Source organism: Homo sapiens, chromosome X (assembly GCF_000001405.40).
Source record: "Homo sapiens chromosome X, GRCh38.p14 Primary Assembly".
NCBI classification, from domain to species: domain Eukaryota; kingdom Metazoa; phylum Chordata; class Mammalia; order Primates; family Hominidae; genus Homo; species Homo sapiens.
The window spans coordinates 112781538-112804269 of NC_000023.11; the positions used below are offsets into that span (position 1 = coordinate 112781538).

General features: G+C 40.8%; 1 protein-coding gene across 7 annotated transcripts in view; it reads right to left on the bottom strand.

Moving 5' to 3' along the window:
• AMOT (angiomotin) overlaps nt 1-22732 on the bottom strand; it is a 65955-nt gene that overhangs the window by 6661 nt on the left and 36562 nt on the right. For all 7 annotated transcript variants that reach the window (NM_133265.5, NM_001113490.2, NM_001386998.1 and 4 more), the window contains 3 exons: nt 10295-10444; nt 9055-9245; nt 1003-1125 (listed from right to left, as the gene is read on the bottom strand). In NM_133265.5, the coding sequence (NP_573572.1) occupies nt 1003-1125; nt 9055-9245; nt 10295-10444 (464 nt within the window). The remainder of the gene's footprint in view (nt 1-1002; nt 1126-9054; nt 9246-10294; nt 10445-22732) is intronic.

Sequence of the window (22732 nt, forward strand, 5' to 3'; positions counted from 1 at the left end):
ACTAAAGGCTGATCTAGTTAGTTCTGAGTTGGAAAACAAGGGATGGTGTGCTACAGTTTTTAAAACATGTTTTTTCTTTTTTCTGCACACCCAAATGGATACAGCAGAGCATCCAGGAGCTGTTGCTTAAATCTTAGTAAGTCACAATAAAGTACCAGTGAAAAAAAAGGCTGAATATGAGAGAATGAACTGATGTACTAGGTGCTGTAGTGAAGAATCTCAGTCAATGGAAACAATTTACTCAGTGAGAAGATGAGATCTATGAATGAGCGACAACCTGCAGGTAGTAAGTAAATGATCATGTGTTTATAAAAGGAATCAGGTATCCTACCTCCACTTTGAGTAGATGTTCTTTTTGTTGTTGTTGTTGAGACGGACTCTAGCTCTGTCGCTCAGGCTGGAGTGCAATGGCATGATCTTGACTCATTGCAACCTCTGCCTCCCAAGCTCAAGCAATTCTCCTGCCTCGGCCTCCTGAGTAGCTGGGACTACAGGTGCCCGCCACCACACCTGGCTAATTTTTGTATTTTTAGTAGAGACAGGGTTTCACCATATTGGCCAGGCTGGTCTTGAACTCCTGACCTCAGGTGATCCGCCCGCCTTGGCCTTCCAAAGTGCTGGGATTACAGGTGTGAGCCATTGTGCCCGGCCGAGCAGATGTTCTTTTACTCTTTTATTAAGCAATCTGCTGTATCACAGGGTTGTGGTGCAGTGCTAGAAAGAATACTCCAGAGTGCAAATGCCAACAATTCAGCTCAGGCAGAGGGAAGAGGAAAAGCAATTAGGAAGGCCAAAGGGACAGAAACCCTACCTGGAATTCCATGTTTAGTGGAGATTATCAAGGTAAAGGTCATTGCATCTCACACCTTTAAGTGACAGGCTGGCAGGGGTGATGGTGGAGCGGGGAGGCTGCATGATCAGATTTCCTAGCTGTGAATAAAGATCCTATGTGGTCTCTATATCAATGTCTCAGATTCCTCAGGGTCCAGAACAACATTTTACCTGCCCTCCATGTCAAGGCAACGCTTATTGGCCATCAAGATTTCTTCCTCCTCTTTCTGGATGCGAGCTTCTAGAGCTGTGTCATAGCTGGTGTTAGGAGAGTGACTGATGACTGTTGTGTCCCTGGGGAGGAAAATGGAAGTGATGAGATGGGAGCATAGCAAGATCAATGAATGTTATCTTTCTTCTAAGTCAAGGAAGGCTTTTCTGGAAAGTCCTAAGCTGAAATCAAGCACATTTGGAACAGATGGTTTCTGGGGAACTAACCCGTAAGAGCCTCCAAAATAGGACAGTTCAGCGTTCAGGGTAGAAGGCAACGTTATTAGTATAGAAGTGGCTGCAAAAGTCAGTGAGGGATGAGATATGCACAGACTTGCCTTCAGAACTGAACAGATATCATCCCAAAACCTTCTGGCAGATAGCCCCTTCAAGTTTTTAGATCATGGCCAAGCAACAGGAATATGTATATATTGGGCCAGGCATGGTGGCTCATGCCTGTAATCCTAACGCTTTGGAAGGCTGAGGCAGGTGGATCATCTGAGGTCAGGAGTTTGAGACCAGCCTGGCCAACATGGAGAAACCCTGTCTCTACTAAAAATACAAAAATTAGCCAGGCATGGTGGTGCACGCCTGTAATCCCCGCTATCTGGGAGGTTGAGGCAGGAGAATCACTTGAACCCGGGAGGTGAAGGTTGTTGTGAGGTGAGATCGAGCCACTACACTCCAGCCTAGGCAACAGAGGGAGACTCTGTCTCAAAAAAAAAAAAAAAAGGAATATGTATATATTTCCATTTTATTCTCCTAGAAGTCATAGAGGGGGAAAGGTCAGACTTTCAAGAAAGTCAGAGGGTATACTAAGTAACTTATGGCTACAGATGAACATTGGTAAATACACCTGAGTACTAGAAGCAAACAACAGACACATCAGCTAAGATTAGGTAGGGCATGTGAGCTAATAAATAGTGCCTTTGAGTCAGTCCCACTCGATTCCTATCTAATCTACATCTGAAACATTCTAGCACCAAATCAATGGGTCTACCCCAACAAAGTGACTGTTCTCTTGCCAGAGTTCTAACTGCATAAAGGACCATCATGTTCCATTTGAAAGTGTCTCAGGCCATTAACTCAAAGACCAATTAATAAGGAAAAACATGTGTGTGTGTGTGTGTGTGTGTGTGTGTGGTGGGCGGGTGAGGGAGGTTATTAGGATTAGGGAGAATACTGATGCAATTATATTGGTCTTCAAGGAAATCAGACAATAGACCGAGAAAACAATGAACTGGCACTGCTTCATTATACTTCCTAAGAGAATGGGGATCTGCAAGAGAACTCCAGGCATGTTTTCTGTTGGGAGCTAACTATGTTCTCTTAGCTTCAAGATTATGTCTAGTGCAGATGGGGATGAAGCGGCAAGAAAAAGAGGCAGAAAGTTGCTATTAAGATTGGGGATTTTGGTGAGCCTCTATAAAATTACTGTTCCCCAAAATATACGTGTACCTTATATGCAAGGTTGAAACCATTTATGGAATGATGAAATAATTGGAGAACAAGAAGGGGAAAGAATACAATGGCTTTCATCATTTGCCAAACTCAAAATATTTTACCATCTCAGCATTCTATACTTTCTCTAGTGCAATTCACTGGCTTGTAGTCCTACTGGGTACCCAAGAAGAAGCAGCATTTGCATAGTGCTTGAGAGCACAGGCTCTGAATACAGACAACTCAGCAGGTCCCAGCTTCTCCAAGTACACTCTGCCCCTAACAAGCTTTATGACCTCTGAAAGTCAAATTACCTGCTCTAAGCATGCCGCTTCATATGCCAAGTGGGAACAATATTTGTAACTTCATCTCATAGAGGATAAAATTATGCATGTAAAAACAGTGTCAGGCATGGTCAAAACACTCAACAAAGCTATTATTAAGAGAGAACCACATAACTCAGGAGGCTGAGGCAAAGGGATTGCTTAAGGCCAAGAGTTCAAGGCTGCAGTCAGTTACGACTGTGTCACTGCATTCCATCTTGGGTGACACAGCAAGACCCCTGTCTCTCAAAGAAAAAGAGAAGGAGGGAAAGAGAGAGGTGGAGGAGAGCGAGAGCGAGAGAGAATGAATCACATAGGTGGAAAGATGGAAGGAGACTAACATACAGAGATTACAAGAGATTCTGACTTGAAAGAATTCCAGCTCTTGGTAAAATCCTGGAAGCAATTCCTGTACTGCAGAATTCCAATGTGAAGGTTGGGGCCTTAGAGCCAGGACTGTTGAAAAGTGCATGGTGTCTACGGACACTGGGGAACTGAGCATACGGTTTGTCACTGGGGGAACTAGTGCTGGCCTGCTGCCACTTTCATTGCATAAAAGACCATTTTGGGGACTCAGAGCCCTGCCAGCTAATTGATATGGACACTGTTAACTCCTCAGGAATGGAGCCTGAAAATGTGGGGCACTTAGTGAATTCCGACAGGGCTGCCAGGGCAGCCCTCAGCATCAATCTTCCTTCTAGAAGACTAGGGCTACCAGGCCAATGGCTTAGGCAAAAGCAAGCAAGCACAGTATTTGAACGAGCAACTTGACCTGCTACCTTCCAATACTCCAAGACGTTCTTTAAGAACATCAGGAGAGAGAGATGCTGGGCTACGATCTGAAAATAAAACCTGCAAACCCCAAACTGCATATTCCTGATGTTGACAACCTCCATCTCAAATTCTTAAGTAAACAGTTTGTCATCTTCTTTCTCCTTCTTTTTTTTGACGAAGTTATCCCATCACATTGCTCAAACTGCTTTCTAGCATGTCACCAATAAACTCCTAAAACACCTAGTGGCCTTTCAAACTTCAAGCCTATCTTTTCCTATCAGCATCATCGTTTTGTTTATTTAATATGTGAACTCTACGTAAGTGGAGCACTGTGTTTGAAGTTCCTGGGAGGCTGGAGAGGGGAAAGGCATGGATAAGACTAGTCCTTAACTGTAGGAAACTTACAAGGGAAGAGAAAAAAGTCAATAATTAACTAGTACAGCAGTGAGTTTGGACTTTATTCCAATAGGCGCTGAAAATTATTAGAGCTTTCCAAGGGAATAAAATGATCTAAGCCATGCCTTAGGAAGACGGCCTTATCTCTCGTAGAAATGTGACAGAAAGATAAGAGAAGTGAAACACTGGAATCAGGCAGACCAGTCAGCAAGGTGATTGTAATAATCCCAGCAACAGATCATGAAACTATGCACCAGCGAAGTGGCAACGGAAATGGAAATAGGCTATAGGAAGTAGAACTGATAGAATTTGGAGACAATATCAATGTGGGAGTTAGGGAGATGGAAGAATGAATAACAACTTTGTTCTTTCGAACTCAAATGCCTAGGAAAGATGAAATACTGTTTGCTGTAAAAGGAAACTGAGGAAAGGCTCTTTTGGAAAGCACTGCAATGGGTTTTGATTTTAGGTACACTGGAGTGAAAGTGACTTAAGAATTGCCATATGCCAGTATCTAACAAGTTGTTCAAAGTTCTAACTTTAATTTTAGAGATATCAGAGTTACTATTACGGTTATTATCATTGCTATTATTACTGAGAAGCTAGAGCAGAGAACAATATAACTAAGACAGAAGGTAGGATGAGAAGAAAGCAGAGGAAGGAAATTGAGAAATGCCTACAAAGAGGGAATAGGTAGACATGCATTATGTGTGTGAACAGCTTCTACCTTCTGCTTCCCTTTTCTTTACTTCCTCCTTTCCAGAATTTACTTTTGCTCAAAATAAACATGAAACATTACACATTCTGAGAAAGGTAGCAACCTAATTCAGTAAATGCAAGCTGATAAAAATTACATAGTTGACTGGGTGGGTTATCTTGTCATCCTTTTGCTGCTCTTCAGAAATAAATTCATTGTTTATGAGCTGAAACTAAAAATCTGCATTGCCAAATTGGTTCTTCTGCGAATGAACAAGGAATCCTACTCAGTAGTAATTTCCCCTCATCTATATTAAGCATCTAGAGAGGACTCCCTAGGGACAAAATAATATGGAGCCTTAATTCAGGCCATATTATTGTGATTATTTATAATATTTCCAGGTAACTAAATAATTAGCCTCAATTAGTATCTTACTGAACAGCTAATAATTCCTATTTTACCATCTTTGAGCTACACCATTTCTAAGAAGCAGCAGAATTATAGCAGCTAAGGAGACAAAAATACAGATTTAAATCCTAGTTCTTCTGCCATTTAGTAGCTGTGTGTGATCTTGGGCAAATTATCTAAATAAAATGAAAGAAATAAATTTCCTGTTATCACTTTGAACAAAACAAATATTTTAAGTATCAAATACTCATTTTAGATATGCCAAAATATCTTCAATTTTCTCTCTCTTTCTCTTTATCTCTTGGCCCTCTTAACCTTTCATCAAGGAAAATTCACCTAAACATACAGCTGACCAATCTCACAGAGTTGCTGTATCTGATGTTTAAGATGCATCTCAGGATAAAGGGCAATGCCAGCACTTTCCATATGCATCAAAATGCCTCCTCCTGGACTCTTTAAGGCTAAAAACCTAGGTTTTCACGCTCTGATCTTGTCTGAAATCGTTAACATCAACAGCTTTCCCTTTGACAAGAGGTGTATCATAATATCAAAGTGTTGGAAGGGGTATAAATAGACCACCTAATACGACTTATCACCTGAGAAAAGACACTTGCCTGTTCTTATATTATAATCTATATTTTATTATTCACAATGGCCAAAAACTGGAAACGACCCCAATATGCATATATCCAAATATGCATACATAAACTGTGATACATCCACACCATGGAACACTACTCAGCATCAACTTGAATGGGTTTCAAAATCATTGTGTTGAGTGCAATATGTCAAACAAGAAGAGTAAATGCAATATGATTCCTTTTATATGACATTCTGGAAAAGAAAATTATAATTTTATGACAAAATAACAGATTAGTCATTGCCTGGGGTCAGGCATGGGAGGAAGCGATCAAATTCAAGGGCACAAGAACACTTTAGAACAGGTCCTCTGTGTTAATTGTGGTGGTGGTTACACTATTGTATACAATTACCAACATTCATCAAACCGTACGCTTACAACAGGTGATTTTTTAATATGTAACCAATATCATAATTGAAAAAAATTGTCTTACCCAACTACCATTGATACCATCCAAGCAAGATATCCTAATTGTGAAATCTGTCATTTACCAAATGAGCTATTAGGTTTGGAATATATTAAGTTTGAGATCCTGGTAGAATACACAGAAACCAAGCAGATCATTGAAATGTGGCACCAGATTTAGGGATATAATTTATACATTTAGAAATTGTTTCCTTCTTGCTTTCACATCTTCCTTTCTCCTTCCTTCCATTTTTCTTCTTTCTTTTCTACTTTCCTTCCTTCCTCAAATACACTTGAGCACTTTCCAATTGTAGCCAATATCCTAGACACTTGAAAATTATTTTGAGGGCGGGCGTGGTGGCTCACACCTGTAATCCCAGCATTTTGGGAGGCCGAGACAGGTGGATCACAAGGTCAGGAGATCAAGACCATCCTGGCTAACACAATGAAACCCTGTCTCTACTAAAAATACAAAAAATTAGCCAGGCGTGGTGGCACACGCCTATAGTCCCAGCTGCTTGGGAGGCTGAAGTAGGAGAATGGCATGAACCCGGGAGGCGGAGGCTGCAGTGAGCCGAGATAGCACCACTGCACTCCAGCCTGGGCAACAGAGCGAGACTCCTTCTCAAAAAAAAAAAAAAATTATTTTGAAAGAAAAGAAAATATAAAACTTTTACCATGGAAAGGGGCAAAGAGCAGAACCTTGGTCAATAGCTACATTTAAGATTGAGAGAAAGAAGAGGAAAACAAGTAGACAAAAGGAATAAAAAGAAATGTTGGAAAGAAAGGCAGAAGAGCCCACAGGTTTTAAAATAAAGTTTTCTAAATGTTACCTCTCAAATATAGAATCTCATTTGAAAGGAAAGAGGAAAAGAAAACCAACCTCCATGGTAGAACGTAAGAGGCACTATCACTGGAAAAGTAATATAATCCTAGAAATAGGAAGGTCTGAAGGAATCACCTAGTCCAATTCCCATATTTTACAGAAATTTCAATACAATCTCTCTGTCAGCATCTCCTGTGGATTGGATTAGTAGCATGCCAGAAAGACACACAGTCGTGATCTGGAATGTTCACCTGTGGAACTATTGGAAAGTGTTCTTTCTAGGTGGGAACCAGGCTGTGTTTTAGCCTGTTAAATGATAGGCATGCACATTTTGCCAAAAACAGTGATTAGATGAAAAGTTTCTACGTGATGATTAAAATGAATTCAATTTAAATTAAATCTACCTTGTGGGAGCCAACAGATTCTGAAAATCCATCTGAAAGGGGTTTCCCCGAATACACAAAGCTTTCAAAGGACGAAGGAAGGAGGGTAGTTTCTTTATACAAGGCCCCCAAGTGACAACCCCTGAAGCTCTCCTGCATTTTGACCTGGAGTCTATTCTGAAGTAGGCACCATGAACCGTAGCTTTCTAGTATTTTCTCACACTGCACACTCTCGTGACCTGTATGTTTCTAAGCTTCTGCCTAAACGTGACAAAATTACCCTGTATCTTTCCACCTGTCAATAATAACAATGTTTTTTCAGCATCAGGGTTTCTTATATAACCTCTGAACAAGTGCTGGACACAGGTGTTTCCTTGGGAGCTAGCAGGTAAAATTACATTTAATTCTGCTTCTAACCTGCCTACAACCTTCGAGACCATCTTCTGGCAGAGCTGGGGCTTCTGTGCACTCTATTGCCACACTGGCATGTATTGAGTATGCCTTGCTTAGGAAACAAGGCCAGGAAGCTTAAGTCCATGAGCTTAAGCTCAAAATCAAGCCACAGGCAGCTTCCATCCATTTGAGGCATAGATGATATCTAATGAAGACAAGCAGATGACATTAGAGAGACATGTCTTCCTAAAGAACCGAAGTGGGCTTATAAAGCACCGGTTCAGCTCTTAGCACTGAACCTCCCCACCTCTGATTTGGCATGGAAGGACTCAAAAATAAATGTATCCACTGCCCACTCCACATACATATCCCAACCCAAAGTCTGGCAAGCACTTCCAGACTCTGCTGGCTTACCACGTTTAGGAGAATGTTAAAAACAACACTGTGGTTTTTAATAACTTTCTGGGTAGAGACCTATCTGGGTGCAATATACTGTAGCCTGCCTTTCATACCCAATTCCAGACCAAGGCTCTGTTATCGCCACAACCCAAGTCATCACCTGACTTTAATTCAGTTTTTGTTGTTGTTTCTTTTTCTCTTTCTCTTTCTTCCTTTCTTTTTACCCCAACTGATGATTTTGAGCAGCAGCAAGGTAAGACACATGAGGTAAGAGCAACTATTTCCTCCAAAGGCCAATAATTGACTTTTATAATTTGAAAAGGGGAACAAATAAGGAGCAAAAAGTAAAAATCCTCCAGCCACTTTCTCTCCCTTACCAGATGAAATGTGACCGCTCACGCACGATGAGGTTATGCACATAGAGAATGTGGCCTTCAAATATTGACCTTCCCAAAGGGCAGGGATGGGTTCAAGTTCAGCACAGCCTTTGACATACCTTGGACAAGCCAGAGCTATCAAATGACAGCAGCAACTCCTCAGTGACATTTAGTTTCTGAGTGGTAGTTTCTCTGGAGGGGCTTTCACTCCGGTCCTGGGGCTAAACAACCTGCATATGTGGCTGAAAGAATCTGTGGCTCTGGGGAAGGAGGGGTGCAAATTTTCAGCTGATCCCATCTGCAATCATTCTGGCTTCTGGGGAAAGCTGAACTATGATTCTAAGAAGTTTATAAAACAACTTTGATGTTCAAATCCCTGACCCTCTGTCTCTACAGCCGTTCATTCCCTGCATAATCAGATGAAAGAAAACACACTTAGGCAGAAATTGGGGGGGAAACCCAGAATATTAAAGAAAATAAAACACTGGAAAAATCTATGAATCAGTGACCTTTCTGTTCTTCCCACTCATGCCCTACCAGCTACCTACTTACCTCTGAGCAGCCACAGTTGCAGCAGCATCCAGAGCAAAATGTCTCATCACATTCTCCTCCAAATATTTCTGCTCCCACTTTGTCATATCAGCTTCCAGAGCCAGAATCCTCTCCTCTTTCTCCCGAAGGAGCTCCATCAGTGCAGCAGCATTGTATTCTGAAACGTTGGTGGGCTGACAGTTGCCCTGACGCTGTTGGGGCAGATGCAGAGAACCCTCAAGTTAGTGAGAGAAGAACCATGGTGTCTGAGCCCCTATTCTTGGAGAGGATTACTGCCCAGCCTACTTCTGTTTCGACTCTGATTCAGAAAGAAGCAGGGGGAATTCAGATCTCCTCCCAGGGCCACAGGACTTCCTATCATGGGCTTGAATGTGAGGTTCCCTTGGCCAGGAAAGGGGCCTGTCATATCAAACTGTCATGCTACTCAGAAAGTGAATTAATGGCCTAAAAATTGCCATCCCTGCCTGCCAGCATAACACACAACAGAAATGGGAATTTAAAAATCTGGCCGGGCATGGTGGCTCACACCTGTAATCCCAGCACTTTGGGAGTCTGAGGCAGGTGGATCACCTGAGGTCAGGAGTTCAACACCAGCCTAGTCAACATGGTGAATCCCCATCTCTACTAAAAATACAAAAAAAAAAAAAATTAGCTGGGCGTGGTGGTGCACACCTGTAATCCCAACTACTCGGGAGGCTGACGCAGGAGAATTGCTTGAACATGGAAGGTGGAGGTTGCAGTGAGCTTGGATCACGCCACTGCACTCAGTCTCAAGAAAAAAAAAATCTAGGATTTAGATCCTATCTTGCCCATAACTTGTTGTAGTTATCATTAGTGACTCATGCCAACTTTTCCTAGTCTTGATTTTCATTCATCTAAAACTGAAAAGTGGTACAGCCAGATGATTTCTGAAGACCATTTCTAGTTCTACAATATCAAGATGTGTATTTGTGTAGCAGCGCTAATTCTTACAGCGTCTACTGTTCCTGGAGTTCATGTGAAAATAAAAGGTGCAAGATAAAAGGCTTAAAGGATATTTCTGGGATAGGAAGCTAAGGAAACAGACTTTGTATTCACAATTGGGAGGCACTCTGGAGTAAGATTAGGTGGGAGAAAAATGTAAAAATGAGCAAGTGTGTGCTTTCAGTGTTCATGTCAAATGCTAACTGAAAAATAAGCAACCAGGAATAATGTCATTTTCTTACTTTTTTTTCCCTTTCTTCCTTTAAGTTCTCCATACCTGCTGGATTCTCAGGGATTCCAGTTCCCTCTCCAGTCGTGTCCGGAGACGGTGCTCTAGCTGCTCACGTTTTTCACATGCTGCCTGGAGCTGTACAAGGGCCTGCTGCATCTTCTCCACCTTGTCAACGTACACTTGCTTCTTTTTCAGCTGGAAATCCATGTTGGGTAATTTGCAAGGTGAAAGGAAAAACAGCAAGCAACAGGGTCAATTATGTATCCCCTAAATCCAGCCTTGTGTTTAGATCTCTTCTTGTTTTAGAGTCCAGCTGCAAAAAGGAATGGATGGCGAGAAGGTCCTTCACAATGAGTAGCAGGCTGCCTTGTATTGCTCATAAAGAGAATGTGAAGGAATCGAGAATACCTTTTAAACCTCTTCCTTCTTCCCTATCTCTATACCTTCCCAAAGTCTACTCTTATCAGTACCATCTATGTTAGATGGCCAAGTTTTTCAGATTCCCAATTATGCACATCCTTATCTCTGGCCTTTTTCATTCTCATATGGATTATTCTTGGGAAGGCATATCTTATTTTGGTTATTGCATTAGGCAAATGCTTTAAAAGGGTGGATCTCCAGGAAGAAAGGTTTGCTTTGGTATGGAAAGAAAGCCCACCCCTTTTATGTAGCTGTCTCTTCTCCAAGTGGGAGAAAAAGGGTGATCAACTGCTGAAGGTACAAGAAAGTCAGAATTGTCTTTTTGAAGTCTTTGGTCCTGGTAATCACCCCATATAATCCATCACTGCTCTCCTGGAAAGTTTCTGCTTCTCAAAAGTAAAGGCGTCACGTGATGGGTCAAAAGCCTTTAGTCTCCACATCGCCTAGCACTGCCTTGCTAGTTCTTTAGGTTATTTGTGATTGCTACTTCATGAGCCTGAATTGGAGACCCTGGGCTATAGTCTCTCAACTTTTATTCTGGAACCATAAAAGATCCCGAAAGCCTCAAATTAATGACTCAAAAGTGAAACTAAATGAGTCAAACATTATTATTCCTCTTTGCAAGCCTATAAGCCATATCCAAAAGCAAATGTAGAAGCAAGTAGGGAATAAGAGTGTGAGTTCTTTGCAACCTTGTAGCTTATAAGCAAAAGCTTGACTATGCAGATAAAATAATGAGAAAGATCTCAGAGCTCTTTAAAGAAGATATATATCTTCTTCTTTAAAGAAGATATATATCTTCTTCTTTAAAGAAGATATGGGGAAACTGCAGGCTTCCCAACTTGTTAATAAATAAGCAGATTATGCTTCTCGTAATACTTGTGGGGCCTCCTCAATGCTAATAAATCAACTCATAGCTGTTTCCAAAGCAGAAATTCTTCCAAGTGGGTCACATCTGTCATTATTCTTCTGATGGAAGTTGATGTTAGGGATCAACATCAACTTGATGTTAGAGACACCTTCACTCTTCAGATTAAAATATGAAAATATTCTTGATAATCTAGTCAAAAAGAAATTCAGGCATCCGATTCTGACTTTTCAACAAATTCCCAAGCTCTTGAGTTACCTAGGTAGATAACTGCAACATAAGAAGTTACCCACCCTACCAGCATTGCCTAACAGCCACTTAGCTGGGGCCCAGCTGGCAGAACCAACCTGACTCCCTCATTGCAGAAACCTTCATGGTAATGAGTCCAAATCACTACTTGGTAGAATTTCCAGTCAGACAGCACTAGCATGTAGTGATAGAAAAACCCTCTTTGTCTTATAATGGCCCCCTCCTCAAATTAGAATTGCTGAACTTTCTCTAAGTCGAAGGAACCCTATCTTGTATTTTCCTACCAGACCTGTAGTATGCCTTGCCTAGGTAACTGGCAAACAAAACCTTTTTCGACTTTTGTTGTACTTCTTTGACATTTCCTTTCATTCCAAGTCTAGTTCAATCTAGCCTTGAAAACCAGTTGAGGTGAGTTCGAAGCCTATATGTTTTTATCCATTAGAACTTTTCCTAGGAAATAAAACAAACAAAACACCATCAAACTCTTTACCTCAGTAAGTTTAAACCTTTCTTCCCCGGGATTTGTGGCTGTTTATAACAACACTGACTAGGGCAACCAAAACTTTTGCCTCTGCCTTCCTATTTGCTAAGCTTTGAATAATTGGAGAGAAGGAAACAACCTCTATCCTTCACCTTTTGGGTCTTATAATCCTTATGAGCAATTTAAAGCTGAATGCATTTATTTGTGAATCGCTCTGAAAGTCCTAAGGGAGCAAGGCAATGTTAACGCAGAGAATGTGAACTATAATTACTAAGGCTTGCAGCAGTTATACTTAAAGGCAATTAAACTTAGATAGCATGCAGTTCTTGCCTTGGTGGTAAACTACTGCAATGCAAGCTCACAAAACTGAAAAATAAGCAATCCAGGGCCACGTGGATTTCTTCAGAAAGGAAACCTAAATATCCTAGCAAAAGCATCCCGCAATAGAAGTCACTGAGCCAACTCTCTGGAAGGGAAATGCAATAAAGGCCTGGGGAGTTCTCCGAGTTGGCTAAAGATAGGCATGCAGGTCAGATAAATTCCACAAAGCAAGCCAAAAAATATCTCATTTTGATTTGCCACTGGGATGATTTTCCACAAGGTAGCAAGACCACTGTGGCTGGCATAGTTTTCCCACCTCATTTAAAAGGAGAAAAAGTGCAACTCACCCATAAACATCATAATCACCTAGTAAATGCCTACTCTCTAGATAGGGTAGAAAAAGACAACTCTTGCATGTGACCAGTCCAAGATCCTAGAGATGCAATCAACAAAGCCAACCATCTTCTAAGTTACACTCTCTACATTTTCTAGATCTTATCTACGTGTAAAAAGGAACAAAGACCTATACGCTTTATTAACTCCACTACTATCTTGAACATTATGTGCTTCACTTTTACCTTAGTCATGACAAATCATGATGTATCTTTATATGGATCAAATGAGATGATGCATTAAGTGCTTAGTAGAGTGTATAGTACAGAAAGTACTCCAGGTGGTTTGTTCTTTTTTAGAGAAAAATTAATACCAAGCCATACACATTCCAGTCCTCTCAACTTTGAACACTCACTCCAGATATCCTTGACATGGCTATCATTCTCTCAGTAACTCTAATGATCACATCATTGTCTAATTAGACAATGCAAATATAGCCATTTTCCCACAGGAGGACATATAACATTAGGCCTCAAACACTTTATGCTGTAGATATCTTTGGATAGCAAGTTGTTCATTGGAAATACAGTTAGAAGCAACCACTGAGTAGCTGCAAGGATACTGCATTTCTTTCCAAATGACATGATTTGCAAGGTACCTCTGCTTTAGGAGAAAGAAATATTTTACCTAATATAAAAAGTACTATTTAACTAAAGACCCCTAGGCAAAACAAATTCTCTTTCTCTCTCTTTCATTCTCTCTCTCTTCCCTCTTTCTCTGTCTCTCTCTCTGTGTGTGTGTGTGTGTGTGTGTGTGTATGTGTATGTCACATACACACAGATATACATATCAGAAATTTCTATCTGACAGCACAATGAAAGGTAAAGGAACAAGGTGACAATTAGGAGACTTGGGTTCTAGTCCTAGCTCTGCTATTAATAGCAACTTGCTTCTCTATTCTCAGCTACAGAGACCTCATTTGTTTAAAAAAATGAGGGGGGTTTCAGGAGTCAGCAAACCAAAATGGTCAGCAGCAGCCCAAATCCAGCCATGTCCATTGATTTTGTCTATAGCTGCCTTACAGCTACAATGGCAGAGTCGAACAGCTGAAGTTGCAACTGAAACTGCATGGCCCACAAACTCCAAAATATTTACAATATGGTCCTTTAGAGAAAAGTTGGCAAACCCCTGGAGAGGTCTTCAAATGGTGATGCAGAGTCCCAGTGTTTGGTGGAGGTGCTTGAGGGGCCACTATGGTGGGTGGGTTGTATCAGATGGCTCCTCTTTTATGTGTTTTACGTATTAGGGTTCTATTTAAAATTTCACCTGAAAAAACAATTGCCAGAGCTTTGTGTGTGTTGTATTCATGTTCATTTTTGTTGTCTGTTACCTGTCTTCCCTAGAGAATGGGCCTCCCACCTTATTTTGTTCCATCATCTTTTCATACTTGATGCTTCAGTATGGTTACATAGCTTAAGGTTCCTGAATAGCCCATAATATTTCACCCCTCACTGCCTTTGCACATGATCTTCTCTCTCTTAGGAATGCCCTGCCCCACCAGGATTTCAGAAGTTTAAAAAAAAAAAAAACAGGGCTAGATACATGATCTCAGAAGATCTCTAAGAGTCTTTAACTCCCAAATTGGTTGTGAATCAGAATCCCCTTTTCACCTTCAACACTGACCAATATCCAAGAGGGCTCAGCCAAACGGGGTCCTAAGATTCTGTACTGTCACATTCTTAGGCGTAAAAACAAAAGTTTTGCTTTAGTTTGTGTGTATGTACATGCAAGAGACATACTATATAATGTGTGTTCTTGTCATAAGACCCTAGATGATTTATTTTTCTGTTTTCAGTGTTCAAAGAACTGAAGGTTCACTTAAAGAATTTCCAAAGCCAAGATAGTGGTTCGAGTGTTTGTGCATAAAATGAGTTGTGAGGACCACAGATTAGTCACTCTAGTTTCTAATCTAGAGACCAGTACCCATGAGCCCTCAAGATTCCAAGTAAATCTATCATTTAAGCCAAATCCCTCTTGAACATTCAGTGAATGGAGTAAATCCTTCATCTATTAAAGTTTTCTTACCAAATGCCAACTTTCAAGAAGTTGTCAAATCCTTTCCTTGCTTTCTCCAATTCTGTGTTTTCTTAATGTAGATCCCTAAACTGCTTTTACTCCCTGGCTTGATCTTTAGATCCACTTTCTCCCTAACCCTACCCTGACTCCCGCCTCCTACAGTACTCCAAGGTCCAATCTATGGTAGTTTCCTTTTTTGCCTTTATATCAATGGTTCTCAACTGGGGGCAATCCCCCCACCCCCTACCATGCCCAACTATCCAGGGGACATTTTAGCAATGTGTGGAGACATCTTTGGTTGTCACAACTGGAGGTGGGGTGCTACTGGCATTTGGTGACTAAAAGCCAGGGGTGCTGCTAAATAGCCCACAATACACAGGACAGCATCCTACCACCGCCACTAAAGAGTTATCCAGCTCCAAATGTCAGGAACGCTGAGGTTCAGAAACTTTGCTCAACATTGCAGCACTACTGGAGATCTCCTTTGTGCCACACTAATATTTTAATGTTATCATGTTATCCTCAGTCACAGACCTCTAGGTGACTATAAGATTTCTCACTCTGAAACTTAGCATGCCCCAGATGGCTTTCATCTTTCCTCAAAATGTCATCCTTTTGATAGTTCAGTCATCATCATCATCACTTACCTAATTTTTCCAGTCTCAGAATCTTGGAATTATCATTCTTCCCTCTTTCCTTTGTCTATCATATCCAATCTACTACTATGTCTTAATTCTAACATCTCTCATATTCTTTCATTTCTTTGTATGTTCATAGCCAACACAGTTTAAGCTATAATAACACCTAACAGATCTTACTTTCAGTTGCTCTCCCGATCTATACACACATGCATGCACATACACACACAGACACACAGACACACACACACCCACCCATGAGTCCATCCTATAGACAGCTGCTATAACAGACTTCCTGAAATAGTCATTTAAGAAAAAAAGCAACTGGCTGGATGTAGTGGCTCACACCTGTAATCCCAGCACTTTGGGAGGCTGAGGCGGGTGGATTACTTGAGGTCAGGCATTCGGGACCAGCCTGCCCAACATGGTGAAACGCCGTCTCTACTAAAAATACAAAAATTAGCTGGGTGTGGTGGTGCACGCCTATAATCCCAGCTACCTGGGTGGCGGAGGCAGGAGAATCACTTGAACCCAGGAGGCGGAGGTTAAAGTGAGCCGCGATCGCGCCACTGCACTCCAGCCTGGGCGACAGAGAGAGACTCTGTCAAAAAAAGAAAGGAAGATAAGAAAGAAAGACAAGAAAGAGAGAGGAAGAAGAAGGAGAAGGAGAAGAGGAAGAAGAGAAAAAAAGAAAAGAAATAGAAAGAAAGAGAGAGAGAGAAAGAGAGAAAGAAAGAAAGAAAGAAAGAAAAAGCAAACTCTTAAACTACTGCTAGCACACCCATTCAATTAGTGTTTATTAGGTACCTATTATATCCAAGGCACTTTTAAACCTACCTCCTCTCTTCTTTAGACCAGAGCTGCTCTCTTTCATCCATACCTCAAACTACTTGATGCTTTTACGTTCACCAGTCTACTGTCATTCTCCCCTGTTCAGCCTAGATATGGCTCTTAAAAATGCCTTATCAATCTAGGCTCCAACTGTCTTAAAATTCTTCCAGGTCTACTATGCAAATACTCAAACTTCATATTGGTCTGATCATTTCTTATCCCTCCTTACTAAATCACTAAACTCTCCAAGAGTTCTTCCTTGAATAATCTTATCTGATCCTGATTGCTGCTTTTCTTTATAGCTTCTCATCATGTGTACTCTATTAAGCAGTCATTTTTTAAAGATTTTATTCATGTGTGGATTCACTCATTCATTCAACAGATATTTACTGAATGCTTATTATGCATCAGGCCCTATTCTACAAATGAGAGCAGGAGGGATGTAGCGGGAAACAAGACAAAGTTTCTGCCTCAATTGGAAGGCAATATCCATAGGCCACTTAAGGGTAGAGCCCTTCTATTTTCCTTGGTGTCTCTCTTAAGTTCTAGTTCTAGTTTACTGGTCACTATATTCTTGGTGAACAGTTAATATTAAATAACGATTACATTCAAGAACAAAAATGAGCATAGTATAGCTTATCTACAACACTGCAAATATACAAACAACAAACACACACCTCATAAATGTATTCACTTTGGCCCAGTCAAGATAAGAATTTCATATCATTCCTATTCAGAGATAAGTTTTTAAAGGAAAATCATAAAATTGAGAGGAAGAACAGTGGGAAGGCAATCTATTGAAGCATAAGGCAAATACTCTTGAGCTCAATCAATCATATGATTTTCCATTACACTTCTGTAATATTTTGAACCAGTTCCCAAGTATTTGGCAGATCTCTTAACCCCCTTCTGACTCAGGAAAATCTGATCCCTGCAAATGAATACCACGTGATGGCATCTCTTCCCTCCTTCCAACAACTGTGGGTGTCTTTCAAACTTATTTTTTAAAGGATGGCTATATACAAAATTACTTCTAGAGCCCCATTTGTCTTAGCCATTTGCAAGGAAGCGACTTAATCATTTAGCTTCCCATTTATTCACTAGTGGACAAAGAACAGGGTTAAAATGTTTTAGATTTAAGAGATCTGGGTTTTCTCCTAAATTTATCACTGACTGTATCACCTAATCTGTCTGTACTTTAATTTCTTAATCTGTCAAATGAGGATAACACTTGCAAGGTTCTTTGGGGATATACTAATATATCTGTAAATATTTTTAATGTTTAAAAAATACAAACAAGAAAATACAGATCAGTAGGCAGAAAGGACAGACTATTAATACCAGCTGGATGACCACCAACATATACAAACACTCCATTGGCTAAAGGACATTAAGGTTAAAAATATAAAACTAAGTCCAGTGCCTTCATTGTCTAATTTTCCTCTTCCCCTGTATTGTCCACAACTCCAAACACTCTTATACAAATGTCACAACTGAAGTGTATTTTTATTGTTATTCTCCTTCATACCACTGGTTATATGTTGCTCCAAGAGCCTGATTTTAGTTTGATCTGATTTAGTCTTACCCAGGAGCCACTGGATCCAAGTAAGGGTTCATGCTGAAGCAATTTGGTAACACTACCCTGGTATTAGCAAGCTGCCTCTGTCCATTGCCAGTAGGCTGTGGTCCACTGGTAGATATTAAAAGAATTGAAGAGTAAAAAAAACCACCTCTAAAAACTTGCTACCTCAGGAATAGGGCTCATGTTGTAAAGGCGACTAAAGAGAAACCCACAAGGTTTCCAATTTAGGAATTCCAAAAGCCAAAATCATAGGAAAGACTGAAAGAATTGAGCTCAGAGAGATCACTCCATCTCTATTTGGGGGTAGACATAATTTCTTTCTTGTAACACATTGGGTGGAAAAACACCTACCTAAAAGTAAATACGGCCAGGCACGGTGGCTCACTCCTGTAATCCCAGCACTTTGGGAGGCCGAGGCGGGTGGATCACTTGAAGTCAGGAGTTCGAGAACAGCCTGGCCAACATGGTGAAACTCCGTCTTACTAAATACAAAAAATTAGCTGGACGTGGTGGCACATGCCTGTAGTCCCAGCTACTTGGGAGGCTGAGGCAGGAGAATAGCTTGAACCCGGGAGGCAGAGGTTGCAGTGAGCCAAGATCAGGCCACTGCTGTCCAGCCTGGGTGACAAAGCGAGACTGCATCTCAATGAATAAATAAATAAATAAATAAAAAATAAAAAGAGAACAAAAGAAAGAAAGAAAAGAAAAGAAAGAAAGAGATAAAATAGACTGAGATAAATATGGAGAATGTCATCCTTAGATGAAATGCCCTTCAAATAAATCAATAATGCACCAGCAGAACACTTTGGAAGATTCCTGGGTGGATATGTATTTTATCTGTATCCTATCAATACTCTAAATGCACACATAATTCACATCCTTGGATCTTCCATCCAAATCTATAATCCATCAAAACACTGGGTAAGATTTACCTTCACCAATGAAATCCTATTGCTGTTTGAAAATTATTTTGGAGTATTAGACATATAAATATCTATGCCTATGACATCTTCCTCTAATATCAGGGAAGCAGGAAATTGGTTATGATGCTTTGTGGATAGGTGTCATAGCAGAAAATTATGTATCTTTAAAACCAAAAAGACAAATCAAATTAGTAAGAGATCCAGAAAGAAGGGAAAATATTAGCCCTTAAGAACAATGGTGGAAATGGAGTAAAACGGTATGAATTTAGCCTTAGAGAATTGAGTAGAATTGCAATGGGACTCCAGAAAATGCACTGGCTACTCCAATACGAGCTATCAATGTGACATCTACATCATCACTAGCCACTGCAGTTCAGAAAAGGTTAACATTTGGGCCCCTTCTTGTTGAATCTCCATGGCTTTCATTCTAGCCTAAAGCCAAAGAACAAGGCTCACTGGCTCTCTCTGCCAGCCCTCTCACATTCCACACTCTCCCTTCCTGTGCACTCAGTTCAGTAAGCAGCCCACCCGCAGCATCTTCCCTCTTTGATCTTGCCAAGGCCTTTTTCCCACCATCCCTGAAACAATTACCCAAGCCGCTTCCACTCCGGATCATCATAAGACAGCAGCCAGCCAGAAGCCTGGGCTGCCCTGAGCCTTGTGAGAGGATATGCCAGACATCCATCGAAAATCTCCAGCGAGGTCAAATTGGTAGGGGGTGGGGAGGCTGTCTTTGAATGGGAGAATACCGTGGTTGCTGTAGGACACAGAGCTCTTTTGACTTGGAGTTTAATGAGCCTCCACTTCAATAGGACCTACGTGTCCCGAAAGAAAGATAAGGGCAAGGACGGAAAGGCACCATTTACCTCGTTCGGCTGCTACTGCAATAGGGGCACAGGGTACACGCTGGTTCAAGGCCTGGATCAGAGTGACTCACCAAGAAAACAGGTCTGATTTATAATTACAGTGCTATCCCCTCCCCAGCAAGATACCTCCTTCCTGGATGTCAGCAGAGCCAGGTCCATGAAAGAATGCATTGAACTTGGGAGCAAATGGAAGCTGTGATTGCAGGAGAAAGTTCTTTGTAAGCCTGAGGCAACATTTCTATGTAGAGTTTAGAGCACAGTGATTGTAGAGAACCTCAGGCAAGAGAGTTAATGAGATTAGCAAGAAGGAATGAATTTCAGGAAAAGCATCTAAATGAGGTCTTTGTAAAGAGAAAGACATAAATAAATGCAAGGGTCCTCTGACCATTAAAGTAGTCATAACCTTTCCCTGACCACCTTAATGCAATGAGAAGTAGTTACCTAAGTGACCTTGTAGTTAGAAGGCTGAGAAAAATAGTCTCCTGACAAAAGGTCTAATTTGAGAAAGTTTCCCTAATTTTGATTTGCTAAGTAGGCTAGAAAGGTTTTCCTTGGAAGAACTTCTAAGGTTCGAGAAAAGAGGAAAGTTCATGATGCCATTTGTAAGCCATCACTAAATTATCTGTTTATATGGGACACAGGCAGGTTATCTAACATATCCATGTGCCTTCAAAAACAGCCTTACTTGAGCCATTTCCAACAGACAGAAGGATAACTCTTCTATTCATGAATACCTTTCTCGGTTTAGCAATGTTCAATGATTTTGTGAAGCAATCACAATGAAGGTTCCTTCCTAGATCTGTTCCAGAACTACCTGTTTACCTCAAATACCTCCCTGATGATGTTCCAAACTTTGAAATTTCAGCCCTGAAAGAGCAAAGCCTAATGAAGACTGAGTCACAGCAGCAAAGCAAAACTTTAATTAGCAATTTCCTATATCTGAGGATAAGCAAAAGGGATGTTTTCCTTTGAACAATATAGAGGAGACACGACAAACAGCGCCCAGGAGCAAATCCAGCTCTGAGAGACTGCTAAAACAAAAAGGGAAATAAGAACCAGTTGATTTTCTCTGAGATGTGGTCTTCCAAGCGTTTATATGTGCTAGAAGTGAGCGGGCTTGAAAGTCTGGAAGACATCACATGGCCTCTGAGATTCCGCTGGGTAGAGGGTGGTAAGCCTGCTCTCCCAGTCAAAGGTTTCACCTCCTTTAGCAAGAGCAACTCAGAATTTCCTAACAATTAGACTCCATGTGAAAGCACAAATTGGATGAGGACTAAGAACTTAACAATAATTGATGACCTCATTTGAAATAAATGCCATCATTCAATCCCAGCTCAATACTTAGAACTTCTTTATATTGTAAAGCTACATACATATTTTGGGGAGGGCCCCTGGAAAACTACTAAAAATCTCCAGGACTAATGCCCAGAAAAGCCTCAGAAGTCTGAAGCCAGAAATATATTTCAGGCAACCTTTTCAGCGAGGGCTGCCCAGTGGGAACTAGAAATGAACATTTTCTCCCAACACATATATTATTTTCAATATTTTCAAACAACCAGTTACCACTGTGCCCTCGGATGTTGCAAAGAAAAATGGTTGCAGACAGTCTGTCCCCATTTATCTCCAACTGGCTGAGCACCCTTCCTGGAGGGGCAGCAGGACTCTCTGTACACCCCAATCTCAAAGCAGTCTGGACAAGTTTCTCATAGTCTTTTGAAAAGAAAGGCCCGACGAGTGAAGAAATTTTTAAAAAACTTAAAAGATGCAGAGGTTACTAAATCTGAACAAGCACCCACATTTTCTTTTTGGGAGGTGAACCAAAGGATGATTCAGACAGGGAGAAAGGCAGCAGGGTTTAGGGAATGAAGAGTCATGAGATACCAGTTTTATTTCTGGCTCTACCCAAGACTGGCCATGTGACCACCAGCAAGCTACTTCTTCGCAGCAGGTCTCTTAGCTTGTCCTTCTCTAAAAGAATTCAGTCTTACCCCATCCTGTAATTTTCTCTGGAATGTCCTCACAAAAATGTGAGGGAAGGGAATATATGGGGTGTAGCAAAAGGATGCAATAAGCTCCTTAAACCTAGACATCAGGTAAGTACAAGTCTTCCTCATTTTCTGTTGAGCAACTTAGCATAGTTCTAATATAGACAACTGATGAAGCTAGATATTAACCTGATTTTATACTACCTGGAGTTGATATTCTAGCAAGTCAGGCTAAGGGATATCATGAATTAGATGGCACTACCCACTGGTAAAGTGTGAATTTACAGCCCAACTCCAACAAGCATTTTAATATCCAAAAAAGAAAGCAGAGGAAATTGATAAGTTGGGAAATCTCCAGGAACTAGACCTATTCTTATTGAGGGAAAGGAAGCAAGCAATGAATGAAGGCAGTAAAGATACCTCATATACAATAGCCAGAATGCTTTTTAAATGCTAATAAATTTCTTTTGTTTCAAATCTACAAATTTCTCAACTTTTTATGATGAAGGCTATTTTTCCCCTTAAAACAATTCAAATTTCAGAGCAGAAGTCTGTGAGATATGAAATTTTCTTTACCAAGATACACTCTAGCATCAATTTTTGCTGGAACACACCCATCCCCTGAAGGGCAAAACATCTAAGAGTTAGTAGTCCAGTGCAATAACAACTGACATCCAAGATAAATTAATGACAAGCCAGCAGCAAATTTCCCTCTATTTCACATGAGTACAGTTTAGTGTTGCAATCAAATAGCATCTATGTCAAGCCTAATCAGATACATATTAATCATATGCTTAATAGTTTGGGGGCCCTTGCATTTGTCAAGGGAAGGCTTCATCTCTGCACACACATAAATGACAAGTCCATTCCTCCACGTAACTATTTTCTAGAAGTAGCCACTGAGAACCAC